Source organism: Homo sapiens, chromosome 2 (genome assembly GCF_000001405.40).
Source record: "Homo sapiens chromosome 2, GRCh38.p14 Primary Assembly".
Taxonomy (NCBI): Eukaryota; Metazoa; Chordata; class Mammalia; order Primates; family Hominidae; genus Homo; species Homo sapiens.
In genome coordinates, this window is record NC_000002.12 from 200328836 (window position 1) to 200350926 (window position 22091).

At 39.5% G+C, this 22091-nt stretch overlaps 1 protein-coding gene across 12 annotated transcripts in view; it reads left to right on the top strand.

Annotated features, from left to right (window-relative positions):
- SPATS2L (spermatogenesis associated serine rich 2 like) overlaps positions 1–22091 on the top strand; it is a 176386-nt gene that overhangs the window by 22957 nt on the left and 131338 nt on the right. For all 12 annotated transcript variants that reach the window (NM_015535.3, XM_024452788.2, NM_001282735.1 and 9 more), the window contains one exon: positions 596–645. Coding sequence is in view for 4 of the 12 variants with exons in the window: in XM_011510938.2 (XP_011509240.1) it covers positions 596–645 (50 nt within the window). In the remaining 8 variants the exon portion in view is untranslated. The remainder of the gene's footprint in view (positions 1–595; positions 646–22091) is intronic.

Consider the following 22091-nt stretch of genomic DNA (forward strand, 5'->3'; position numbering starts at 1 on the left):
TTGTGTGTACTTTATAGGATATCTTTTGGAGAGGAGAGGATTATAACAAGAACAATAGCTAACATTAAATTGGACAAGATATTTTGGTGAATAGTCCAGGCTCTGGAACTTGATTGCCAGCTACATTTTCATGAGACAGGTGATTTGACCTCTCTGGTGCCTCATTTTCCAACACCTGTAAAGTGCCAGTAATACCAGGGCCTACCTCAGAGTATTGAAGAGTTAGCCTATGTGAAGCCCTAGAACAATGCTAGACACTTCCTAAGCAGGCAATAAATGTTAGCTGTTGTTGGTGTATTTCACTATTATATGTTAGGCAGTGTGCTAAATGCATTACATATGTTATATATCATCCAGTCAACAACTTTGTGAGGAAGGTACTGTTATTATCCCCATCTTACAGTTGAATAAACTGAGGCACAGAGAGGTTACTCCACCTACCTGGAGTCACATAGCTGTTAAGTCATGGGTGAGGACGAATTCCCTGTCTTCTTGACTCCAGATCCTGTGCTTGGGTTTTGAGTGTGATGGGAAATGGGTGGTGTGGCTACTAATTTGAGACCTGCCTGACTTCCCAAATTTCCATTTTTCCTAGAGCTCTTCAGAAACCAGGCTGCTTTCAGGAACATTGCTGTGGATTCCCAGGTGAGTAGAGATGGTCCTTCCCTCTCTGTGACCTCCTCCTGCTGCCATGGCCAGCTGTCCCTACACCTGCAGCTGCCTCCTGGGAGCCTTGTCACAGCCTTTGGCCGCCTCTGCTGCCTCTCAGGGCTCAACACCAGAGTTCTCTTTTAGAGTGTGTTGACTGAAGTTATTCCTGATAGGGCAGTGGGGTCTGGTGGATGTAAGTCAGTGCCACCCCACCCACATCCCCCTTCCCCACCTGCCTTGCCACGTCTGTGGATCTTTAGAGTAGTTTCATGCATATGAAATACTTTGAAGTACCAAAAAAAAAAAAATAGGGCTTTTAAAGACATTCTTGTGATTTAGAAAAGAATTATGGCTAAGAGTGGTGGGCTCTGGAGCCAGACTGCCTGGCTTTCCCTCCTCACAGTGATAGCCACTTTTGCTCTCACTGTCCTTCTTATTGAAGAATGTGCTCCCACGATTGCAGAAGTCTGACTTGGAATTGACAGTGCTCAGTCAGCATTGAGTGGGAGTAGGACACAGACTCCTGAGCCAGACAGCCTGGCTCTGCATCCTGCCTCTGCTGCCTAATAATCGTGCAGTCTTCGCATGTCACTTACTTTTCTGAGCCTTGGTTTCCTCTTCTTTAAGATGGGGTAATTATACCCATCTTGCAGAATTGTCAAGATGTTTTCAAGCTCATGTATGCAAGGCAAACTTACACAAAATTGATATTCAATAAAACAGTAACCAAAGATCATCCTTGGTCCAGACCCTGTTAAATAATCATAAATTCCAAATTGAGGTAGTCCAAATTAATGAAGTCTTATTGCCTCCTGGATATTTCCATTAATGTTTAATATAAACTTGATTCTTTTTCCATAAATGTAAAACTTTTGTGGTAAGATGATTGTAACTTTTTGAAAAGAGCCATAAATATTGGTGGGAGTTGGTTGTTTTCCATGAATAGAATCGAATATTTTACTTCCTCATATTTGAATCACAATGAAAGCACTTTCAGTTGTTCAAAGAGAATTAATATAGAAACAACTGTTGATTTTCTGTCTTTCTGTCTCCATACACATGTCTGCATGCACAGGCGCACACACTGCTTAGTTTTCCTTTGGTTAGGCAGCTGAAGAGTTACTATGTAGATCCTGGCAGCCTTCTACCCATCAGACAAGCAAGGGCACAATCAATTCCTGTTTTCTTGAAACGTATACCAAATAATCAGAAACTCTGATTATTCTGCTGGAAGGCAACAGCTTGATGGAAAGATGTACCAATTGAAAACAATTCTGATCATATTTTTGTCAGGAGAATGAGATGCCTCCAGCTGCCTGTCACTAATCATATTAGAGGTGGAAAGCAGGAATGTTTTACCCTGCAAAAGATTACTCTAATCATGTGTTGGAACGCTACTTGTACTGGCTGCTTATCCCAGAACGGTGACATTAGACATCCCTTCTGTAACTGGTCTTGCCAGTTGGTAGTAGTCTAAACCATATGCCACATGAGCACACTTTAGGAATTTTCTAATTACAGCTCAAAGGCTTTACTTTTATCTTTTTATGCTTGTACTGCAGACATCAGTGATTGAAAATGATTTCCCCCTCAGCATAATCCTATTGCCAGCAGTTATGAAAGACTAGGAAGATGGTAAATGAAGCCCACAATAACTGAAGAGGTGTCCGAATTCAATTATGAAGAGGCCTGTCCCATGTGGACACATAAGCCATATAAATCCATTTTAATTGTGAGCTGTGATGCTTATCTGATTATGTTTATTTTCGATGCAAGTGCCAAAGCTGGATTTAGACCAGAATTCCAGATCTTCAAGTTCTAATGACTAATTTGGGTATCCACTGAATCCCTTAATTCATTTCTTAATTTGTTCTCCCAGAATTAGAGAGTTGCTTGGTTACAGTCATTTTCACAAATTTCTCATGGATCAAAATAAATGTACATAGATGTTTTTCCCCCTAGGATTCACACATTTTGCTCTGATCTCAAGGAACTATTCTTGTTGTTATCAAAATAACAATAACAGTGCCAACAATAACAACAAAACTAACATTCTGCAAGGTAGTGTAGGGAATATAGACCGAGGCTCCAGGAGGAATGATTTTGAGTCGCACCTCAGCTACTTAACAGCAGTGGGACCTTGGTCAAGTTAGTCCCCCTCTCTGTGCCTCAATTTCTTCTTGTAAAATGGGACAAATGAGAGTATTCACCTCATTGGGTTGTTTTGATGATGATTAAACAAGCCCATATATGGAAAGTATAGGTAGGTTGATATGTGGAAAGTCCTGGCACAATAAAAAATGTTAGTTATTTTGTTGTTATTGGTAAGACAGTGGTCGACCAGAGGCAGATTTTGCTCGTACCACAGTATTGTCATCTAAGTATGTCCCATTTCTACGGTCCACTTGGAGAACATTTATGATGGTAATGAAAACACTGGAGACTCTGAATTTGGAATCAATCTCTGTTATTTGTGCTTGTACTCCTTAGTTTGGCTACAGAAATAACATTTTTTGGCTTTCCAGGCTTGATCAGTATTGAACTTGGAACCCTTTTGGTGCAAAATTGCTTTAAAATTTGAATGAACATTTTGTTCTCTTGGTATGCACAATATTAGCCCTCATTAAGAGGAAAAATTTTATTACAATATGTAAAATGTGTGTGTGTGAGAGAGAGAGAGGGAGAGGGAGAGGGAGAGACAGAGAGGAAAGAGAGAGATTTGGAAGAATCAGCTTTAGTAAGTTTACTGGAAATCTTCAAGCTTTTTTTTTTTAGAGAGACAGGGTCTCACTCTGTCACCTGGGTTGGAGTGCAGTGGCGCCAACACAGCTCACTAAAAGTTCAACCTCCTGGGCTAACACAGTTCTCTTGCCTAAGCCTCTGGTGTAGCTGGGACCACAGGTGCATGCCACCACAACTGGCTATTTTTTTTATTTTTTATAGAGATAGGGGGTCTCACTTTGTTACCCAGGCTGGTCTCAAACTGCTGGGCTTAAGCGATCCTCCCACCTTGGTCTCCCACAGTGGTGGGATTACAGGTGTGAGCCACCATGCCTGGCCCAAACTATTTTTTAATACAGTAAAATGCATTTATTATCATGGCTTAGATTTAGTGAATGTGTAGGAGTGAAAGTCTACTGAGAGAATAAATCTAGTAATTTAATGAACTTTCTTCATAGCTTCATAAGAGTTAGTTAATTATGATTTCTTAATTCATTGCCCAAAGAATGAATTACTGGAATTCATTATATTTTTTTTTTGAAAAAAAAAAACTAAGTTAGCTGCCTGTGTGTGTGTGTGTGTGTGTGTATGTATGTATCTATGTATTCTAGAGAAATATATATTATATGCATCCAGAGATGTGTAAAATATTCTCTATCAGTAGGAGAATAGATTAATAAATTGTGGTGTAATCATATGCTAGAATACTATACAGCAGTAAAAAAATGAACTAGAGCTGTACACAATAACATGGATATATCCCACAGACATGATGTTGAAAGACAGATATGGCCTGGGTTTGTTAGCTCATGCCTGTAATACCAGCCCTTTGGGAGGCCAAGGCTGGGGGGTTGTTTGAGCCCAGGAGTTCAAGACCAGCCTGGGCAACATGGTGAATCTCTTTTCTACAAATACAAAAAAAAAACACCTTAGCTGGGTGTGGTGGTGTGTGCCTGTAGTCCCAGCTGTTTGGGAGGCTGAGGTGGGAGGATCAGTTGAGCCCAGGAAGGAAAGACTGCAGTGAGCCAAGATCACACTACTGCACTCCAGCCTGGGTGACAGGACAAGACCCTGTCTCAAAAAAAAAGAGAGAGAGAGAAAGAAAAGACACAAGATTACATAGCAGTCTTTTTTTTTTTTTAGGTTTTTATTATTGTCTTTATTTTATTGAGACATGATATTTTATATATTTATGGGTTACATATGAGTGTTTGTTACATGTGTAGAATATGTAGTGATCAAGTTGGGAGTTTGGGGTACAAGGGTTTTTTAAAATTTTTTTTATTTTTTATTTTATTTTATTTTTTATTTTACTTTAAGTTTTAGGGTACATGTGCACAACGTGCAGGTTTGTTACATATGTATACATGTGCCATGTTGGTGTGCTGCACCCATTAACTCGTCATTTAACATTAGGTATATCTCCTAATGCTATCCCTCCCCGCTCCCCCCACCCCATGATGGGCCCCAGTGTGTGATGTTCCCCTTCCTGTGTCCAAGTGTTCTCATTGTTCAATTCCCACCTATGAGTGAGAACATGTAGTGTTTGGTTTTTTGTTCTTGCGATAGTTTGCTGAGAATGATGGATTCCAGCTTCATCCATGTCCCTACAAAGGACATGAACTCATCATTTTTTATGGCTGCATAGTATTCCATGGTGTATATGTGCCACATTTTCTTAATCCAGTCTATCATTGTTGGACATTTGGGTTGGTTCCAAGTCTTTGCTATTGTGAATAGTGCCGCAATAAACATACATGTGCATGTGTCTTTATAGCAGCATGATTTATAATCCTTTGGGTATACACCCAGTGATGGGATGGCTGGGTCAAGTGGTATTTCTGGTTCTAGATCCCTGAGGAATCGCCACACTGTCTTCCACAATGGTTGAACTAGTTTATAGTCCCACCAACAGTGTAAAAGTGTTCCTATTTCTCCACATCCTCTCCAGCACCTGTTGTTTCCTGACTTTTTAATGATCGCCATTCTAACTGGTGTGAGATGGTATCTCATTATGGTTTTGATTTGCATTTCTCTGATGGCCAGTGATGATGAGCATTTTTTCATGATGATGAGCATTTTGGCTACATAAATGTCTTCTTTTGAGAAGTGTCTGTTCATATCCTTCACCCACTTTTTGATGGGGTTGTTTGTTTTTTTCTTGTAAATTTGTTTGAGTTCTTTGTAGATTCTGGATATTAGCCCTTTGTCAGATGAGTAGGTTGCGAAAATTTTCTCCCATTCTGTAGGTTGCCTGTTCACTCTGATGGTAGTTTCTTTTGCTGTGCAGAAGAAGCTCTTTAGTTTAATTAGATCCCATTTGTCAATTTTGGCTTTTGTTGCCATTGCTTTTGGTGTTTTAGACATGAAGTCCTTGCCCATGCCTATGTCCTGAATGGTATTGCCTAGGTTTTCTTCTAGGGTTTTTATGGTTTTAGGTCTAACATTTAAGTCTTTAATCCATCTTGAATTGATTTTTGTATAAGGTGTAAGGAAGGGATCCAGTTTCAGCTTTCTACATATGGCTAGCCAGTTTTCCCAGCACCATTTATTAAATAGGGAATCCTTTCCCCATTTCTTGTTTTTGTCAGGTTTGTCAACGATCAGATAGTTGTAGATATGTGGCATTATTTCTGAGGGCTCTGTTCTGTTCCATTGATCTATATATCTGTTTTGGTACCAGTACCATGCTGTTTTGGTTACTGTAGCCTTGTAGTATAGTTTGAAGTTAGATAGCGTGATGCCTCCAGCTTTGTTCTTTTGGCTTAGGATTGACTTGGCGATGCAGGCTCTTTTTTGTTTTCATGTGAACTTTAAAGTAGTTTTTTCCAATTCTGTGAAGAAAGTCATTGGTAGCTTGATGGGGATGGCATTGAATCTATAAATTACCTTGGGCAGTATGGCCATTTTCACGATATTGATTCTTCCTACCCATGAGCATAGCAGTCTTATTAAAAAACAGACAAAACTAAACTTTGTTGCTAAGGTGTGTATATTCAAGTGGCTGAAACAATAAAGAAAAGCAAGGAACTTATTACTGAAAGAATCGGATACCAAGACAGTGCTTACCTGAGGCGGGAGAATGGTGTGAACCCGGGAGGCAGAGCTTGCAGTGAGCCGAGATTGCGCCACTACACTCTGGCCTGGGCGACAGAGCAAAGATTCTGTCTCAAAAAAAAAAGAAAGAAAAAAAAAAGAAGATAGTGCTTGCCTCTAAGACAGGAAAGAGAAAGGACCTGGAGGGCTTCCAAGGGTGCTGGCAATATTGTGTGCTTTGACGGGGCTGGTAGTGACGTGGGCAAAATAAATGAATTTTTAAATTTACTTTCCTGTTAATGAGTTATAGTAATAATTTAAAAAGTTAAAAAGATAAAGTAACTATCTCTTTGGCCTGGCTTAGTTCACACCTTGTGTTCACACCTGATTTTAGTTCTAGAGATTTCTGTGATTATAACTGGCTTTTAGAAGTGAACGACTGTGTCACTGCATGGCAAAGTGGTCTCCAAAGTGGGATATGCACCCCAGGGAGCACTTGAGAAGACTCATTTGGGTAGGAAAAGAAATTGATTAGGACTTGCATTTACATTCATTTTGTTATCATGAAACATTATGGTAACTGATGGCAACTGTATTGACATTGGCACCATCCTTGAGTCCACATATCTGGGTGGTTAGGTATTGCCTGGGGCATAGGCGAAGTCTCCTGAGCAAAGAATGGGAGTGCCCAGCTCAGGGGCTTCCTAGTGGCTTCCCCACTGTTCCATCTGTCTTTGTTATATTGTGAAATATATTGTGCCTAGTTAACTGGATTTACAAATTCTATATTTTAGTTTTAACAAAACCTCACAAACTAGCAGAATTTTTAAAAGATTCTGGAAAGAATTCTCATAAGTTGAAGACAATTTTAATATTGCAAGCAAAAAAAGAATGGCAAAGCTTTGCATGAACTTTTTGTCAGCCACGTTATGAGTTAATGACAGGGACCACTGAATCAAATCTGGCAAGAAGCTGGCCATGAAAATTTTATGATACCTGGAAAACTAAGGGATTTATATTCACCTTGTTTAATCATGAACTTCGTCCTGTTCGTATTGCCTTGAGATATTATGATTAGAAAACATTGTATTCATTCTGTCATCCTTTTTCCATGTTTTATAAGGTATATAACATATTAATACAATAATACATGTATATGAATTTAAAAAAAAAGACACATACAAAATGTGAGTAGAAAATAACTTGGATACTACTGTCATGTATTTCAAAGGCTACTTACTGCTCATAGTTAAAATGTGTGGAAAAGTCTGCATATCACAGGCAGGTCATCATACCATTAAAAGACCTTAATTTTTTTTTCTCTTGTGAACCTATTAAAGTGTATTTGATTGTATCACAGCCATTTCTAAAACAGATGTGTACTGCTGTTCCTCACACCAAATGTGTATCCGATACATAACATTTGTTCTACCAGGACTTGAGTAATTACTAATAATATTTCAAGGATGGAAATGATTTAAATGTTCATATGTCTGAAAAATTGATGAATAACTCCCAAAACAATTCAAACGATTCTTTCAGTATTGCCCCTGACAAGTTCTAAATGTTAGTATATTGTCCCCTTTGGATCATTCATTTTAAAGCTGTGAAGAGTGTTGATTCCTTGTTTTTCAAGCACATGTACATATGAAACAACCAAATTTCATATTGTTCATACTTAGTGAAATTTTTTTTCTATTAAAAGAAAATGTCTTTCTTAGAGAAAGCAGATCGCTGAAGAGACAGATATGGTAATAACGATCATTAGTTTACTTGGCCTTGGTTTTCCACAGTGTTGAGTTATAATGTAATCTATAGTTCATCTTTTTAACTAACTCTCAATACATTATCAACCCAGTGCCTCACACTGTTTACAAGGATGATTTATTATTTGTCAGATTTTAAGTGCTAACCTATGAAATGTTAAACTTCTATTGGCAGCCACTGCAGGAAGGTTTGTAGGTGTCCTGACTAATGCTTTGAAAGACCAGCATTAGCAGTAAATCACAGCATACAAAATTTTTTAATAAAGTAATGGAAAGGATTTTACATTCTGGGTCATCTAAGCTTTGGTATTTGGAAGTTAGTTATGTGCGAAATTAAAGGGGTAAAACATTCTCAGGCTTTAACCCTTGAACTTTGGGCCAGCCATAGTCAATAGCAAAAGCATCTTGGTAGCTTTGTTCTCCTAACCCCGAGATTTCTTGGCTATGAGAACTGACAGAGTGCCAAGTATAGGCCTAATTGCATTCCTTGTTACTGAGAAAAAATATCTCAAAGGAATTTTCCTTTTCTTTCAAAGGGGTACCTGGGCATTTTCTGGGATAGCAAAATTGTTTATAAGATGTTTGCAAAACTTTCTGAAAAGAGAACTTGAAGAGGGCTCTGACAGCTAGTTGAAAGGCATGTGTGGCTTACCTAGAGCAGTGGAGAGTTCGGGAGATGCAATTTAAAACGTGAGAGAGATGTGGCTTTGTCCTCTAAAAGCTTGCTTGCTCCTTGATGCACAAGCTGATGGCCTCTCTTCTTTTTCTTTCTCTATGTTCTGCTCAAAGATTTAGCAAGACATTACATAAGATATTCAGCTAGCCCCATAATAGACTGCCAGCTGTCTAGGTTCTGCTTTGTTCACCAATATTTCCTGTGCTGTGTCCACTGCCTAATACATAAGACATACTCAATTAGTATTTGTTGAATGAACATATATATTCAGGTATTTTCTTCTATGATCTATATATTGGTGATTAATTTATTGAACCAGATATACTCTGAAACAAATTAACTTTTTTGTTGTTTTTTGAGACGGGGTCTCACTCTGTTGCTCAGGCTGGAGTGCAGTGGTCCAATCATGACTCACTGCAGCCTCAGCCTCCTGGGCTCACGTGATCCTCCCACCTCAGCCTCCAGAGTAGCTGGGAATACAGGTGTGTGCCACCACTCCTGGCTAATTTTTGTATTTTTTATAGAAATGGGATTTCACCATGTTGCCCAGGCTGGTATTGAACTCGTGGGCTCAAGCAATCCACCCACCTCGGCCTCCCAAAGCATTAGGATTACAGGTGTGAGCCACCGTGCCCAGCCCCAGATTAACTCTGATCAAGGAATCAGTAGCTAATTTTAGTAGATTGAGATCTTCTAATATATGGAGTTTATATTGTAGTGGGAGGGCCAGACAATGAAGAAACATGTAATCAAGTGAATAAACCCAATAGTTCAGCAAGTGATGAGAGCTGCAAAAAACCTGAACAAGGCAAGTGTTGTGATGTAGACTAAGGGCTTGGAGAAACCAAAGCCTGGAACAACCTGAAAGCCCAGTGGTATAGAAGGAATTGATACAACCTCCCCAAAGGCTTAATTTACTCCAATAGTTAGCATGTACAGTGAAAAGATTCATCTTATCACAGCTTTTCTTAATGAAAATAGTTTTGCTGCATCTTACCATACTAAGAATGTCAGTTCCTACTTTATAGAATTTTGTTTTTAACACATCAGTTGGTTAACACCAGTGCCAAGGCCAAGGGGTTACCTCTCCACTTCACTTCCCTTCTTCTCCAAGCTGCACTTCTCTCTCAAAGCCAGACAGCTGTCTCCCAAATGTGCACTGTCAGTCGCATAGGAAACCAGATGACCAAAAGAGGGTGGATCAGCACAAATTTCTCATCAAAGCTGAAAGAAAGAAAGAGAAAGAACCTCAAAGCCAATGCCCTGCTGACTGTGGGTCAGAAGTGTTATCTTTGTATCTCAAGGACAGAAAACTTAATAAAGATTTGGGTACAAAGTACACATCATCCTCCAGGCATGCCGAACGATGTCAGTCAGAAAGCCGTTCCTTAGAGTTTACAATTTCCCCTTTTTCCTAAATTAAAAAATGCTAATGTGAACTGTTGACTCGCAACAACACATGTTATTATTGTATATAGGGCAAAGAGTAAATAAGACACTTGCCTCATGAAATAACAGTTCATTTTAACTCAGCAAGCTGGAAGTAATTTTAGCTTTTTTTTCTTTTTTTTTATGCTTCTTTATGGAAGTAGGCCACAATCATTTTTATTCCACGATTCTTTATAACCCTATAGCATGCTTCCTGTTTATGCTTTTAAGACCTGTTTTTAAAGACCCTTAAGGGATATCCTTTAATACATTCCTTTTGAAAATAATTATTCATCTATAGTACCCCCTTAGAATGTCTGAGGGTTTGAAAATATGGGAACTTCTTAATGAGATGTGTTTAATAGTCTATGCAGAGTATTGAAATGTTTACACCTGGTTTAGTTAACATAAATTATATTTAATTAGTCATTCTGGAAAATAAGTAGATATTTTAGAATAGATTCAGTACCTAAAACCCACCATTTGCTTTTTATGTATAGTATCCATAGATAAATTCAATGCATGTATTTATAGGTTTAAAAACATGCTTGCAATAACATAAAGTCAATTCTTAGGGACTTTTAGAAATAATACAAGGAACATGTCTTGTTGGGGCAAGCAAAAAAACATCCATGTGGGCCAGAAGATCATGTTTATAATTTTTTACAAAGTTTAAAGTGCAATACAAATGTAATTATGTTACTGCTATTTTTAACGTTTGTGGCATGAAGAACTTCTGGGTTGAATGACAGTCCATAATTTTTTGTTTAAATGCTGAATGTTCCTGTTTAGAGTGAGATTTCCTTTTTCACATGCAACCTTTGTGTCGGGGGTGCCCTGAGTTCCTTAGATGGAATCGTTCACACTGCAATTGACTTTTCAGCTCTTTAGGTGACACTTGTGCCTCCATGTGATCCTTCACATGATGCTTTAGCTGGAAGTCTCATTTATAGAAAGAAACCTCGACCCACGTCACATCTGCAATCTAAGAGCCCCACTGTGGCCATCTCCCCAGTTTCTCCCATGCACTAGAAAAGGGCTGAGCAATCGCTCATCCTTGGTATTGGGTGGCCTCTGTTATGGTCCTCTGAAGTATGCTGTGCTCGCAGAGTTTATCTGCCCTGCACTCTTTACTCTTGCTGCTTTGATGTCTTCTTATGGCTGGTATGTGTTTTGTAGTTATTCTGGCCACCAGCAGTTTTTTCTGCAAATCCTGTGTCCTGCTGGGTATGTCTGTTCCTTCCTGTTCCCCCAACAACACATTCTCTTCACTTCAGCATCTTTTTTTTTGTTTGCCCTCAATGCTACAAGAAACCAGAAACAAGACAGCGTGTCTTGATAATATTCCTCTGCCGATTTTCCACTGCCTTCTTCCCTGGATGAAATTGCTCTTTTCCACAGCACTCTAGTGTTGCCAGCTGCCATCTTTGTTCTCTGCTCTTTCAGAGCGCTCACATGGAGGGGGTGCAGCAGGAGGTGGGGAGGGCTGTGGAGAGGCACAGCCCTTTCTGCTCAGAGTGGTCCTCCAGAGAAGTGCCACATTGTCCGGATGGAGGACCTGACCATGGGAAACAGACTCCCTGACAGTCACCATGGGTTACACAAATATTACTTCCATTTAGCTTGACCTTTCATTGTGCTTGAAAAAGGACTGAAAATACTTAAATCATGTATAGTATTTTTCTGGAAACAAAAATAAATGGGGTTCTTTTCAGAAGGCACACTTGAACTTTTGCCCTTGCTCTTCCTTTTTGAGCCATTTTATCCAATTCAGTGTTTTCTTTTATCATGTATTTTCCTTTTGTGAGAAATAGCGAATTTCTCTGCTGATAAAATTATGAATCACAGAAGCAATGTAACTGTTAAAGATAAGGATAGCGCTTGTGGCCCTAAAATACTTAGTTCTGGGAATTCAGCTTTGCTAATATTTCTTAAGTGCTTACTCTGTATGTGCACGTATGTGTCACTGGCAGACCGACTTCTTAATTCTAAAACTGCTTTAATGCATTATCCCAACCAATTCTCACAACAGCCCTGTGAGGTGGGTAGTATTATCATTTATCTGTGTTTTATGGATGTACACATGGAGGCACAGTAAAGTTAAGTGATTTCCTCAAGGTCGCACGATTAACCCTGGGCAGGGCCTGGATTTGAACCTAGGCAGTGTGACTTCAGCACCTATGTTCTTAACCACTGAACTAAACTCAATAACTCAAGTGTGTCATAGAACCTCTGAGAACCTAAGTTTCCTCATCTCCGAAATGGGAATAGTAACACTTACCTTACTAAATTGTGAGGATCAAATAAAATAATTACTTGAGAGGATGCACTTAATTGTGATGTGCTGAAGCATAAGGTTGAAGTCTGGGGGAAATGTTGATATGGGATTTTCTGTTATGAGTCTTATTGGTGAATTTGTCCTTTGCTGCTTGGATATACTGCTGGTTCAGATGAAAAACTGTGTTTTTTTAAGGCTGTTTTGAAACCACAGGAAGACCTCAGGTTTCACAATGAAAGGGATCCTTTCCAAAATGGTGGCATTTAGAAGCATTTAGAGGACAGGCAAAATTAACTATAATTTTTTTTTTTTTTTTTAGACAGAGTTTTGCTCTGTCGCCCAGGCTGGAGTGCAGTGGTGGGATCTCAGCTCACTGCAACCTCCGCCTCCTGGGTTCAAGTAATTCTCCTGCCTCAGCCTCCCGAGTAGCTGGGACTACAGGTGCCTGCCACCACGCCCAGATATTTTTTTTGTATTTTTAGTAGAGATGGGGTTTCACCATGTTAGCCAGGATGGTCTTGATCTCCTGACCACGATCCGCCTACCTCAGCCTCCCGAAGTGCTGGGATTACAGGCGTGAGCCACCGCGCCCGGCCAACTATAACATTTGTAATATGCCAAGTAATCATATCATTGTTTTCCTTTTACTCTAATCCCCCTTTAATGTAGCACTTGACACTCCCTCCCTTTTTTCTAAATCATGCAAAATAAGTTTTCTTTCCAGTGTCTATTCACCATATACCATGGACTTATCACTAACTATCACTCACTGTGTAATACTGGACCTGGGACCATGTCTTGTATTGCCAGCACAGGGCCCTGAAACACAAGAGATATTGGGCAAGGGATAGACCAGTGGAAGAGAGGTAGAAAGCAAGTCCAGAGATAAAGATTTAGAAAGGCTGCAGACTAAAATGACTGCTTCAGAATGTGGGACAGGAGACCAGAGCTGCAGAAGAGTCAGCTGGGTGGTATTGGAGGAGGACCTGGAAGAGGACGCTGAGAAAGACAAGCTTAACAGGAGACTGGTTGTTCTCTTGCAGCTGCTTTACAGGGGAGTGAAGCCTTCCTCCTCCGTCTGATGCTGGGCCTGCCTTCCCTGCTGTGCAGCTACTCTGTGTCTGTGGGTCTAGTACCTTCATTTCTCATTATGTTCACACAAGTCAGGTTGTTGGGGAGCTGAGCTCTTACAGTCCCATGGGGGAAGTGGAGAGCCAAAGGTCTCACTTTTTGTGATTCTTTGGAGATTTTATGCACCCTAGAAATTTGAGTTTTTCCTGGTGTCTTCTGGGACTGGTACTGCATACCCAGGGTCACCCTGTTTGGGGGCTTTTCCAAGCGGAGTTTGTGATCATAATGAGTTATATTTTTCCTCTTTTCTGGATAAGAACAATATCCTTGCCATTCAGTCTCCAAATATAGCATGTGGTTATGATAGAAGAATATCCTTATGTTAGGAAAGAAATTGGCAGTCTCAATGAGGCAGAAATGTCCAATTTAGAAAACATGTCTAAAAGGAAAAGCTGCTGTAAGTCCTTTTTGGAATCAGGTGGAATATAAATGAATAAATAAAAAAATTTCAAATAAAATGTGTGGTCTGACAATACATTCTACTTTCTCTCTTTAAGGTACTTGTTGATTTTGCCTAAACTTCAGATGTAATTTTTTTGTCACTTCATTAAAATTTCAGACTACAAACTGATCTGGCATCTAATTGGGAGAATAACTTGGATGGAGATTTTCTAGCTGATGCATGTAATCAGAGCACTACAATAATATTGTCAGGGACTGACCCATTTAGAATGTTTTTAAGAATGTTGGTAAGTGTATAAGAAGAGTACTTAACACAGGGGAGGGAGAAAAGGCATCAGGTCCCAAAGAAAGAGCCAAAATGGAACGTATGTCAGTCTTGGCTGGAAGTATACAAATACGGAGTATATAATATAAAATCACCTAATCGATTAAGGTGTCTGTAGTTAACATTCATCAGAATTATGGATACAAGCACATCTATCATACTTCACCAACCCAAGGGTGCCTGTTTAGTTTCTCTTCATGTAGTACTAAGCTGATCATAACACTTGATAGGCAAGTAACTCAAGTAAATTGAAGTATATGATGCCCTTTCTAGAGGGCAGTTTGTCACTATGTTTGTTTTTAATCCTTTAAAATATATTTACTGTTTTATTTATAGGAATTTGTGCTAAGGAAATAATTAAAGATATGTGGAAAGGTTTTAGCCACAAAGATGTTCATTACATCATTGTTTATAATATAGTAAACAGGAAATTGCTTCAATTACAGATTAGTTAAATATATTCTGTATATGATGTCACAGTCATACAATAAAATACTGTTCAGCCACAGTAGATGCTGTTGTAGATAAGTATTGATAATGAAAAGATGTTTATGATACATTGTTAGGTAATAAAATGTTAACAAAAGCCAAGTATGCAATGTGATCATATTTTGCTTAATATATGTATATATTCTTAGAAAATATTCTGGAAATGTATTTAAGAGTTTTAAAAGTTGTTCTCTGAGTGGTAAGGTTTGGGGCATTCTTCTATTTTATCTATGTCTTTTAATTTTCCTACTCTGAACATATACTGCTTTCATAATAAGCAGAAAATAATCCATAGAGGTTATTTTTTTTAAAAAAAATTTATTTTTAAATAAAATTTATTAAAAAAAAATAGATTTGAGGGTGCATGTCCAGGTTTGTTATATAGGTAAACTCATGTCATGGGGGTTTGTTTTACAGATTATGTCATCTTCCAGGTACTAAGCCTAGTATTCATTAGTTATTTTTTCTGATCCTCTCCCTCCTTCCACCCTCCATACTCAAGTAGGCCCCAGTGTCTGTTGTTCTCATGTGTCCATGACTTCTCATCATTTAGCTCCCACTTATAAGTGAGAACACACAACATTTTGTTTTCTGTTCCTATGTTAGTTTGCTAAGGATAATGGCCTCCAGCTCCATCCACATTTACACAAAAGACATGATTTTGTTCTTTTTTTATGGCTGCATAGTATTCCATGGTGTATATGTACCACATTTTCTTTATCCAGTCTATCACTGATGGGCATTTAGGTTGATTCCATGTCTTTGCCATTGTGAATAATGCCGCAGTGAACATTTGTGTGCATGTGTCTTTATGGTAGAATGATTGATACTCCTTTGAGTATATATCCTGTAATAGGATGCTGGGTCAAATGGTAGTTCTGTTTTTAGCTCTTTGAGGAATTGTCACACTGCTTTCCACAATGGTTGAACTAATTTACACTCCCACCAACAGTGTATACATGTTCTTTTTCTCTGCAACTTTGCCAGGATCTGTTATTTTTTGACTTTTTAATAATAGCCATTCTGACTGATGTGAGATGGTATCTCATTGTGGTTTTGATTTGCATTTCTTTAATAACCAGTGATATTGAGCTTTTTTTCATATGCTTTTTGTGGGCATGTATGTCTCCTTTTGAGAAGTGTCTGTTCATATCCTTCGCCCACTTTTTGATGGGGCTGTTTTGTTCTTGTAAATTTGTTTAAGTTCCATAGAGATGCTGGATACTAGACCTTTGTCAGCTGCATAGTTTGCAAATATTTTCTCCCATTCTTTAGATTGTCTGTTTGCTCTGTTGATTGATGGTTTCTTTTGCTGTGCAGAAACTCTTAAGTTTAATTAGATCCTATTTGTCAGTTTTTGCTTTTGTTGTGATTGCTTTTGGCAACTTCATCATGAAATCTTTGCCCATCCCTAGGTCCATAAGAGGATTGCCTAGGTTGTCTTTCAGGAGTTTTTATAGTTTTGGGTTTTACATCTAAGTCTAATCCATCTTGAGTTGATTTTTATATATGGTGTAAGAAAGTGGTCCAGTTTCGATCTTCTGCATATGGCTAGCCAGTTATTCCAGCAACAAAGGTTATTTTAATTGAGAAAAGGAAAATATTTAGATCAAACCTTATTAAAGTGACTGACTCTGGATAACTGAGAGACTTTATATGAGGCTTTTTGGCTGTATTTGTTTGTAAACATATTTCAGCTGAACATGTGTGCTGTGATTTTGAAAACACTGACTACTCTATAGTACATTTGATTTAGCAGAGATTATTAGCTTTCTTCCTAGACTGCCCTGCAAAATGAAGGAACTCAATTTATTAGGCCAGCTCTGGGGTTTCTTCCTACTCCCAAATCCCAGGTCTACACTTTCTAGGTTTACCCAGAGAAACTGCTGAGTGGGGATTCCCTGCATTTCTTCTATTTACTAGCTCCCAAGTGATGATCATGTATTATTAAGGACTCATTGTATCATTTGTAGTACACTCAAGCTAACCTACTCTGTAATATTATCCTTGATCTTTTGCTCCTTTGAAGAAAGACCTTCAAAATACCTAGTTTTTGTATCAATTGTTGATTACTCTAGTTTTTAACTTTTTTGGAGCGCTTATGGTGAGGGTTACATAGCTGAGAGCTGCTCAGTGTTTCAGGGGAGCTTCAGCCGTAGGTGGGAAGCAGTTGAAGCAAACTGTAACAAAGAAGTCACTTCCATCAGAAAATAAAATTCCCACCAGCTGTTAAACCCCTGACAACCTCTCAGCCTCTTCCTTTTGTGTCCAGGAGACCTCTGTCTGTCTACAAACCCTGGACCTGGTTTAGTTCAGTGAGGCAAGATGCCGTATATTTTTCCTTGTTAATCACCCTTGGCAGATGTCATAGTATTACAACCACTTTCTCCTCCCTTTAAAAATATAATTTCAGAATGACTTCACAATAAATGTAGAGGTAAATTACAGTAACATCTGGCAGACTGACTTCCTAATTCCATGACTTCTGAGTGGTTGTTAGTGGAAAGAGTATTATAGCTCCATGAGCTAGGAAACCCATATTTTGATCCTGGCTCTGCTGTGAACTTCTTGGGGAACATTAGAAAGATGACCTAGTTTTTTTAGGTCCAAGTTTTTCTCCTCAGGAAAGTGAAATAGTTGAATGTGGTTGTTTTCAACCTTCCTCTCAGTTCTGAAGTTGTGTGACTATGATCTATAAAGGTCATTTATTGTTGCCTTCATAACTCAAGACCAAAGGCAGAGTGTCTGTTAACACTCCATTTCAGTGACTCCCCTGCCACTTATTTCTCTTGGTCCAATAAACTATTGTTTTTTTGTTTATCTTCCTTTTCTCATAAAACACTAAGTAATTTCAGAGAGAATCTCATTTTGGCATTCTTTATATCCTCTAATGTATGATGTGTCTTCGTGACTACTGAAAAAAATTCTTAAAAGCAGCTACTTCCATTATTCTCTAGTTTTTAAAGCTATCCCCTGAGAACTAAATGTCAATTCAAAGATTCCTGCATTTGTTATCATTTCTACCCTAACCTGTAGAAGTCCAAGACATAATTTGAAACTGAAGGATTCTTGCCTGGAGACAGTGGGCTCATAAATATGTAGCTTGATTTTTCTCTATAAGAAGAAATTAGGATTTTTAACAACACTTTTTCAGTATCTAAGTTGAATATGCAAAATTGGGCTGCTGTACATGCTTGCAGATCCTGTATTTTTAATTGTAGTTACATTATTTTTCAATTGAGTAATAATTTTCAATGAAGCTACTGCAAAATAACAGGTTCTTGCCTAATGAAAGATTTTACAAACCAAAGACTCATGTGTTTTAACTCTATCTCTAATTTAGACTCTGAAATATGCCATTCTTCCTTTATATATGTCAGATAGCTGTCTGTTTTCTAGGCCGAGCATGGAAAACACAACCCAAGTGGGCCACAGAAGAGGTCACTAATTTCCTACCCAGTACCCATTCTTTTCCTCTTCCTTAGTAACACATTCTGATTTTATTCAAAGGGATAATGTCCCCAGCCAAAAGACTGCATTTCCTAGCCTCCTTTGCAGTGAGGGGTAGCCAACACAGAGATCACTAGGTGGGAGTTCCAGGAAACCTCTTCAGTGGGAGTTGACTGTCCTGCGCATGTCTTGACTCTGCATCTTCTGGCTCCTTTCTGAGCTCCACCTGGTCACAGGATGGTCAAGTCAGCTTTAATCTCATCATCCTCTTCATTTAAGCCCAGCAAGAAAAAGTCCATTTTCCTAATAGCTTAAACAAAGCCCCCGGTTTGCATGTCCTTGCCCTCATTGCCCATTTTGAGCTGCCTTGAACCCATAACTGAGACACATAGAATACAATGTGCCGATGGATCCATCCTGGTCATATAACAACCCCAGGGCTCAGGTTGGAGGCAGCTTCACTGGGTCCCCTAAAGCAAAGTAGGGCTAGGAGAAGTGGGGGTGGATGGATACTGAATGATCATACTACAAATGTCCACCCCACCAAGTATGCCAGTTTCTTCTCTGAGTTATTAGTCTCTGATAATCTGGTAAACTGCTTGGTTTGCAAAGTTACGTGAACAACAATTTAGTCACTAGATTCATTTATAGTAAACGAAGTTGAAGGCTCAAGGCTGCACCATTAATCTGGATTAGCTATCAAAATATATATCTTCTAATTTTCCTGAGTAATATCTTATAATAAGTCATATAACTTCTCTTTCCATTATCACCCCATATATGGCCTGCTAAAAGGGTGGAATCAAAAGCTTGCCAAGAAATTTTTTCAAATCACAGCAATTGTATTTTCCAGTATGGCTTGCTGATATAGCAGAGGACATTGTTTCTGAACATAAAGTTGTATAACAAGTTACAGCTAAATGAAATTTAAAACGACTTGTGATAAACCCTGAAAAAGTGGTGCTTTAAAATAGTAATGTCAGCAGGCTGTCTATTATGTAACCATAATACTAGTGTTCTGAGTTTAGATGGGGAAGTTATAGGGCAGTGACAGAAAATGTCGTTGTCCTGTCTTTGGTATGAGAGAGCATGTAAAAGTGATTTTGAAGTGATTTACTGCAGATGCATGTTGAGACATGGTAAACAACGAGACAGATGATTATGGCCACAGTTCTGAAGATGTTCAGATGGACTTCAATTAGCTTTGGGCAAGGCTGCTTCTTGCAGAAGCCAGTATTGATTTTCCAGAATGCCTTCTAACTTTTCAGCAGAAGGGCCAATCTTGTCAATTCCTTTAAAGCCACGGGACACGTCATTGGAGAGCAGACTGTGGGAAGTCTTCCTGCAGTGGCCAGGGACTGGCTATCTGAGCTGAGGACAGTGGGGCTAGGTGGAGGTGAGGCAGTGAAGTGGAATGATGGAGTGTGAGCTCTACAGTCAGAGAGGCCTAGGTCTGACACTAGTACCTCCATGTATACCAGTAGATCACTAAGCTCTAGGAGCCTCACTTCCCTCCTTTGTAGGATAGGCACACATGAGAATCTAATGAGAAAAGGCCTGGAAAGCTCCTAGCTCAGTGCTTCTGGCCTGTACTAAGTGTTAGGAAATGTTAACTATTACTCCGTTTCAGAGCTGGCCCTTGAAAGAAAGAGAAATATTATTGAGTTTTTCACTCTTTTCCCCTGAGTTTCATTAAGAAAAAAAAAAAAAAAATTTGCATGTGAAGAAGTTGAATTTGGGTTGGCTCTATTCCTTTCTGACTATGCTTTTACTTTCTTGTGTAGAAAAATGGAGAGTCAGTATTGGCATATCCTAGGTGCTTTTACTATCTTAGGATCTTGTCCTGTACTTTCGGTGCAAATTTGTTTAAAACAGCCCTTTTTTAAAAAGAAGAATGGTGTTATTGCATCACATCTAAGAATGGCAGCCACTTGCTGAGAGAGCAGAAGGACCCTGAGAAGTCAGCAAAGTCTCAGGCCTGTAGTTGGCATCACGTTAGAGACCACCAGCATTCCGTCTGTCACTTTAGACCTTCTGGAAAGAGTGTTCCAACATCTCAGAATAGCAGGACCCTAGGGTCATAAGCCTCCAGTTTACAAATGAGGAAACCGAGATCTAGAAAGGAGAAATGACTCACAGGCTACATCAAGAGTCAAAGACACGTAGGCCGGGCATGGTGGCTCACACCTGCAATCCCAGCACTTTGGGAGGCTGTGGCAGGTGGATCGTTTGAGGTCAAGAATTTGAGACAAGATTGACCAACATGGTGAAACCTCGTCTCTACTAAAAGTACAAAAAAATTAGCCGAATGTGATGGCACATGCCTGTAATCTCAGCTACTTGGAAGTCTGAGGCATGAGAATCCCTTGAACCCAGGAGGCAGAGGTGGTAGTGAGCTGAGATGGCGCCACTGCACTCCAGCCTGGACAACAGAGCAAGACTTCGTCTCAGAAAAGAAAAAGAGTCAAAGACACAGGCAAGAGTGAAATCCAAGGTTCTCAATGCCCAGGTCAGGGGAATTAATGACTATACCCTGTTTATCCTCTAACCTTCTCCTTCTGGTCTCCTGTTAATTGCCATTCTCATCCAAGCACTGAAGGGCAGGAATTCATTCCTTTCAGCAAATTCAGTTTGTTGGAAGCCACCTTTTACTTTGTCCTCCCACCAAAGTGTCAACATCTAAATGTCTTCCCACTGTGGTCACTCCATTACCCAGGAATGAAATTCACATCTCCTGCCTGGGGGTCTAAGAGTAGCCACTGCCCCAGGCTATTGAATGGGAGAGAGCTGGAGGCCTCACTGTTAGTGCCCAGAGAGACTTCCTCCTAGGCCCTTGTTTTCAACCTGGACCCTCAGCCTGCCCTCCATAATGCCTGGGGTCTCAGCCTCTTGGGTTCAGTTTTCTAGAGAGGAAACCACATATGTCCCACAGGGTTGAGAGGGATGGTTGCGTGGCTACGGTGAGTGAGGTGGGTCTGTTCCCCCTCTCAGCCTTCCAGGGGTTCTTTGGTGGCCAGACGGCTGGCTTCTCTGTATTCTTATCTGTGGGCCCTTAAGTCTCAGTGGCCTCTGCTGAATCAAGTTCCTACTCTTTTGTCTGCTTTCCTTCTTTCTGAATGGTTGTGTCATGCCTCAGCCATTTTTGTCTCATCTTCTCATTTGTTGTCCTTTTGGGCTTATACCTTTTAAAAATTACTTTCTCACCATCCAAGCAGGTTTTGGAAGAAAACAGATCAGCACAGTGTTAACCACCCCCACCCCATGTTAATAGCCATTTTAAAAAATATATTATTTAAATTTTTCTCTCAATGCAAATTTCTAAATTTAAATTTTATTTTGATTTCATTTTATTTTTTGAGATGGAGTCTCACTGTGTCACCCAGGCTGGAGTGCAGTGGCACGATCGTTCACTGCAGCCTCTGCCTCCTAGGTTCAAGCGATATTCGTGCCTCAGCCTCCCAAGTAGCTGGGACTACAGGTGTGTGCCACCACACCCAGCTATGTTTTTTTGTTTGTTTGTTTTTTTAGTAGAGATGGCGTTTCACCATGTTGGCCAGGCTGGTCATCGGCTCCTGACCTCAAGTGATCTGCCCACTTCGGCCTCCCAAAGTGCTGGGATTATAGGCATGAGCCACCATGCCTGGCTTAAATTTAAATTTTAAGTAGACCTAAAATCCTGTGGATAGTGACTGACTAGGGCTGAGTGTGGTTAATTTTTTTTTGTTTCCTTTGGAATGT